Genomic DNA, 6,503 nt, shown 5'->3' on the forward strand with positions numbered 1-6,503 from the left:
GAGTTTGAGACCAGTCTGGGCAACAGACGGAGACCCCATCTCTAAAAATGAGGAGTTGTTCTTTTCTCCTCTTTTTTTGAAAGAGTTTATATATGATTGATGTTATTTATTTCCTGAATATTTAAAAATTTTCAGCACTGAAACTGGGGTTTCTTCATGGAAATATTTTTTTCTTTTTTGAGACAGGGTTTTGTTTTGTTTTGTTTGTTTTGAGACAGAGTTTCACTCTTGTCACTCAGGCTGGAGGGCAATGGCACAATCTCAGCTCACTACAACCTCTACCTCCCAGGCTCAATCTATTCTACTGCCTTAGCCCCCCAAGTAGCTAAGTACCAAGGACCACAGGTACCCACTGCCACGCCCGGTTAATTTTTGTATTTTCTGTAGAGATGGGGTGTCACCATGTTGCCCAGGCTGGTCTTGAACCCCTGGGCTCAAGCCATTGACCCACTTTGGCCACCCAAAGTGCTGGGATTACAGGCGTGAGCCTCTGTGCCTGGCCTCTTTATTTATTTTTAATAATGTCAATACTCTTAAAATATAAAAGCTGCCCTCTCCCTCTCCCTCTCCCTCTCCCTCTCCCTCCTCTCCCTCTCCCCACGGTCTCCCTCTCCCTCTCTTTCCACGGTCTCCCTCTGATGCCGAGCTGAAGCTGGACTGTACTGCTGCCATCTTGGCTCACTGCAACCTCCCTGCCTGATTCTCCTGCCTCAGCCTGCCGAGTGCCTGCAATTGCAGGCGCGTGCCGCCACGCCTGACTGGTTTTCGTATTTTTTTGGTGGAGACGGGGTTTCGCTGTGTTGGCCGGGCTGGCCTCCAGCTCCTAACCGCTAGTGATCCGCCAGCCTCGGCCTCCGGAGGTGCCAGGATTGCAGACGGTGTCTGGTTCACTCAGTGCTCAATGGTGCCCAGGCTGGAGTGCAGTGGCGTGATCTCGGCTCGCTACAACCTCCACCTCCCAGCCGCCTGCCTTGGCCTCCCAAAGTGCCCAGAGTGCAGCCTCTGCCCGGCCGCCACCCCGTCTAGGAAGTGAGGAGCGTCTCTGCCTGGCCGCCCATCGTCTGGGATGTTAGGAGCCCCTCTGCCTGGCTGCCCAGTCTGGAAAGTGAGGAGCGTCTCTGCTCGGCTGCCATCCCATCTAGGAAGTGAGGAGCGCCTCTTCCCGGCCGCCATCCCATCTAGGAAGTGAGGAGCGTCTCTGGCCGGCCGGCCATCGTCTGAGATGTGGGGAGTGCCTTTGCCCCGCCGCCCCGTCTGGGATGTGAGGAGCGCCTCTGCCCGGTCGCGACCCCGTCTGGGAGGTGAGGAGCGTCTCTGCCCAGCCGCCCCATCTGAGAAGGGAGGAGACCCTCCGCCTGGCAACCGCCCCATCTGAGAAGTGAGGAGACCCTCCGCCCGGCAGCCGCCCCGTCTGAGAAGTGAGGAGCCCCTCTGCCCGGCAGCCACCCCGTCTGGGAAGTGAGGAGCGTCTCTGCCCGGCAGCTGCCCCGTCCGGGAGGGAGGTGGGGGTCAGCCCCCGCCCGGCCAGCCGCCCCGTCCGGGAGGGAGGTGGGGGGGTCAGCCCCCCGCCCGGCCAGCCGCCCCGTCCGGGAGGGAGGTGGGGGGTCAGCCCCCCGCCCGGCCAGCCGCCTCGTCCGGGAGGTTAGGGGCGCCTCTGCCCGGCCGCCCCTACTGGGAAGTGAGGAGCCCCTCTGCCCGGCCAGCCGCCCCGTCCGGGAGGGAGGTGGGGGGGTCAGCCCCCCGCCCGGCCAGCCGCCTCGTCCGGGAGGTGAGGGGCGCCTCTGCCCGGCCGCCCCTACTGGGAAGTGAGGAGCCCCTCTGCCCGGCCAGCCGCACCGTCCGGGAGGGAGGTGGGGGAGTCAGCCCCCCGCCCGGCTAGCCGCCCCGTCCGGGAGGGAGGTGGGGGGGTCAGCCCCCCACCCGGCCAGCCGCCCCGTCCGGGAGGTGAGGGGCGCCTCTGCCCGGCCGCCCCTACTGGGAAGTGAGGAGCCCCTCTGCCCGGCCAGCCACCTCATCCGGGAGGGGGGTGGGGGGGTCAGCCCCCCGCCCGGCCAGCCGCCCCCTTCCGGGAGGGAGGTGGGGGGGTCAGCCCCTTGCCCGGCCAGCCGCCCCACCCGGGAGGTGAGGGGCGCCTCTGCCCGGCCGCCCCTACTGGGAAGTGAGGAGCCCCTCTGCCCGGCCACCACCCCATCTGGGAGGTGTGCCCAACAGCTCATTGAGAACGGGCCATGATGACAATGGTGGTTTTGTGGAATAGAAAGCTGGGAAAGGTGGGGAAAAGATTGAGAAATCAGATGGTTGCCGTGTCTGTGTGGAAAGAAGTAGACATGGGAGACTTTTCATTTTGTTCTGTACTAAGAAAAATTCTTCTGCCTTGGGATCCTGTTGATCTGTGACCTTACCCCCGAACCCTGTGCTCTCTGAAACATGTGCTGTGTCCACTCAGGGTTAAATGGATTAAGGGCAGTGCAAGATGTGTTTTGTTAAACAGATGCTTGAAGGCAGCATGCTCATTAAGAGTCATCACCACTCCCTAATCTCAAGTACCCAGGGACACAAACACTGTGGAAGGCCTCAGGGTCCTCTGCCTAGGAAAACCAGAGACCTTTGTTCACTTGTTTATCTGCTGACCTTCCCTCCGCTATTGTCCTATGACCCTGCCAAATCCCTCTCTGTGAGAAACACCCAAGAATGATCAATAAAAATAAAAATTAAAAAAATATATATATAAAAGCTGAATTTAGATAGAAGTTATGCTATCACATGAAATGACAGGAGCTAGGGTTCTTTTTTTTTTTTTTTGAAACAGGGTCTCGCTCTGCCACCCAGCCTGCAGTGCAGTGGCACAATCACAGCTTATTGCAGCCTAAACTTCCCAGGCTCAAGTGATCCTCCCACCTTATCCACCTTACCCTCCCAAGTAGCTGGAACTACACAGGCACCACCATACCCAGCTAATTTTTCTTCTTTCTTTCTTTTTTTTCTTTTCTTTTCTTTTTTTTTTTTTTTTTTGAGACACAGGGTCTCCTTATGTTGTGTGGCCTGGTCTCAAACCTCTGGGTTCAAGCACTCCTCCCACCTCAGCCTCCCATCGTGCTGGAATTACAGGCATGAGTCATCACACTCGGCCTAGGGTTCTTATTTTTGGGTAAAATGCCTTCACAGCACTTCCTATTATCAGTTTTAAAGATCAGACTCTTCCTCCATGCCTCGCCGCTCTTCGGTTCTACTCTGTCCACTGCCATGGCCCAAGCTGACATCGTGCTGATCAGATTGGCAGTCATGGGCCAGAACTTAATTCTGACCATGAAAGACCATGGCTTTGTGGTCTGTGCTTTTAATAGGACTGTCTCCGAAGTGGATGATTTCTTGGCCAATGAGGCAAAGGGAACCAAAGTGGTGGGTGCCCAGTCCCTGAAAGAGATGGTCTCCAAGCTGAAGAAGCCCCAGCGGATCATCCTCCTGGTGAAGGCTGGGCAAGCTGTGGATTATTTCATCAAAAAACTGATACCATTGTTGGACATTGGTGACATCATCATTGATGGAGGAAATTCTGAATATAGGGACACCACAAGACGGTGCCAAGACCTCAAGGCCAAGGGAATTTTATTTGTGGGGAGCGGAGTCAGTGGTGGAGAGGAAGGGGCCTGGTATGGTTCATTGCTCACGCCAGGAGGGAACAAAGAAGCATGGCCCCACATCAAGACCATCTTCCAAGGTGTTGCTGCAAAAGTAGGAACCCTGCTGTGACTGAGTGGGAGATGAGGGAGCAGGCCACTTTGTGAAGATGGCGCACAACAGGATAGAGTATGGGGACATGCAGCTGATCTGTGAGGCATACCACCTGATGAAAGACGTGCTGGGCATGGCACAGGACAAGATGGCCCAGGCCTTTGAGGATTGGAATAAGACAGAGCTAGACTCATTCCTGATTGAAATCACAGCCAATATTCTCAAGTTCCAAGGTGCTGATGGCAAACACTTGCTGCCAAAGATCAGGGACAGTGCAGGGCAGAAGGGCATGGGGAAGTGGACCACCATCTCTGCCCTGGAGTATGGCATACCCGTCACCCTCATTGGAGAAGCCGTCTTTGCTTGGTGCCTGTCATCTCTGAAGGATGGGAGAATTCAAGCTAGCAAAAAGCTGAAGGGTCCCCAAAAGTTCCAGTTTGATGGTGATAAGAAATCATTCCTGGAGGATATTCAGAATGTCCCTCTATGCTTCCAAGATCATCTCTTATGCTCAAGGCTTTATGCTGCTAAGGCAGGGAGCCACCGAGTTTGGCTGGACCCTCAATTATGGTGATATTGCCCTGATGTGGAGAGGGGGCTGCATTATTAGAAGTGTATTCCTAGGAAAGATAAAGGATGCGTTTGATCGAAACCCAGAACCTCAGAACCTCCTACTGGACGACTTCTTAAGTCAGCTGTTGAAAACCACTAGGACTCTTGGTGGTGGGCAGTCAGCACTGGGGTCCAGGCTGGCATTCCCATGCCCTGTTTTGTCACTGCCCTCTCCTTCTATGACAAGTACAGACACGAGATGCTTCCAGCCAACCTCATCCAGGCTCAGCGGGATTCCTTTGGGGCTCACACCTATGAACTCTTGGCCAAACCAGGGCAGTTTATCCACACCAACTGGACAGGCCACGGTGGCAGTGTATCATCCTCGTCATACAATGCCTGATGATGATGATGCTGCTCCTGTCACCCTCCACGATTCCACAGACCAGGACATTCCATGAGCCTCATGGCACTGCCAGCTGGCCCTTTTTTTTTTTGAGACGGAGTCTCACTCTGTCGCCCAGGCTGGAGTACAGTGGCGCGATCTTGGCTCACTGCAAGCTCCGCCTCCCGGGTTCATGCCATTCTCCTGCCTCAGCCTCCCGAGTAGCTGGGAGTACAGGCGCCCGCCACCACACCCAGCTAATTTTTTGTATTTTTAGTAGAGACGGGGTTTCACCATGTTAGCCAGGATGGTCTCGATCTCCTGACATCATGATCCTCCCGCCTCGGTCTCCCAAAGTTCTGGGATTACAGGCATGAGCCACCCCTGGCCCAGATCTTTTTAAAAAGTGTTGTAAGAGACTCCAGAGGAAGGCACACAGTTTATTTGTAAAGTAGCTCTGTAAGAGCTGCTGTGCCCTCTGCCCTTGCCTCTTGGGACTGACCAGGAGCTGTTCATGTGTGTGAGAGTGGGAACCACCTCCTTGCAGCAGTGGCTTCCGCATGCCCCATGTGCTGGTGTGGTTCCCATCACGCAGACGGGAAGGGTCTTTGTGCACTCTGATCAATTGGAACCTCTGTATCATGCGGCTGAATTCCCTTTTTCCTTTACTCAATAAAAGCTACATCAGACTGATAATAAAGAAAGAAAGAAAGATCAACAGTGATTCTCCCTGGGTAGCCAATTGAGGTAGTTTGGATAATTTAGTTCTTTCTTTATCCACTTTTATTGCTGATCCTCTAGTTTCAAAAATAAGTAAATTTAAAAATAAAACAAAAAAGGCCAGGTGTGGTGGCTCACACCTGTAATCCCAGCACTTTGGGAGACCAAGGTGGGCGGATCACTTGAGGTCAGGAGTTTCAGACCAGCCTGGCCAACATGGTGAAACCCTGTCTCTACTAAAAAACACAAAAATTAGCCTGGACGTGGTGGCTCACGCCTGTAATCCCGGCACTTTGGGAGGCCAACATGGACAGAACACAAGGTCAGGAGTTCGAGACCAGCCTGGCCAATATGGTGAAACCCCATGTCTACTAAAAATACAAAAATTAGCTGGACGTGTGGCGGGCACCTGTAGTCCCAGCTACTTGGGAGGCTGAGGCAGGAGAATCACTTGAACCTGGGATGCGGAGGTTGCAAGTGAGCCGAGATTGCACCACTGCACTCCAGGCTGGGCAACAGATTGAGTCTCCGTCTCAAAAAAATAAGGCCAGGCGTGGTGGTTCACACCTGTAATCCCAGCACTTTAGGAGGCCAAGGCGGGGGGATCACCCGAGATTGGGAGTTTGAGACCAGCCTGACCAACATGGAGAAACCCCATCTACTGAAAATACAAAATTAGCCAGGAGTGGTGGCACATGCCTGTAATCCCAGCTACTTGGGAGGCTGAGGCAGGAGAATTGCTTGAACCCAGGAGGCAGAGGTTGCAGTGAGCTGAGATTGCACGATTGCACTCCAGCCTGGGCAACAAGAGCAAAACTCTGTCTCAAAAAAAAAAAAAAAAAAATTAACCAGGCATGGTGGCACATGCCTGTAATCCCAGCTTACTCTCAGGAGGCTGAGGCAGGAGAATTGCTTGAACCCAGGAGGCAGAGGTTGCAGTGAGCTGAGATGGCACCACTGCACTGCAGCCTGGGGGACAGCGAGACTTCCACTCAAAAACAAACAAACAAACAAACAAACAAACAAAAAACCAATTTAGTCATAGTTATTGGACAGTTCAGGCCAAAACAGGTCATTTGGCTTGAATTACATGGTTTCCTTTTCCCAGTTTAAT

At 53.9% G+C, this 6,503-nt stretch overlaps 1 pseudogene; it reads left to right on the forward strand.

The window, feature by feature from the left end:
* On the forward strand, positions 3,195–4,782 carry PGDP1 (phosphogluconate dehydrogenase pseudogene 1; annotated as a pseudogene).

The sequence above is a fragment of the Homo sapiens genome, chromosome 18, assembly GCF_000001405.40.
Source record: "Homo sapiens chromosome 18, GRCh38.p14 Primary Assembly".
Taxonomy (NCBI): Eukaryota; Metazoa; Chordata; class Mammalia; order Primates; family Hominidae; genus Homo; species Homo sapiens.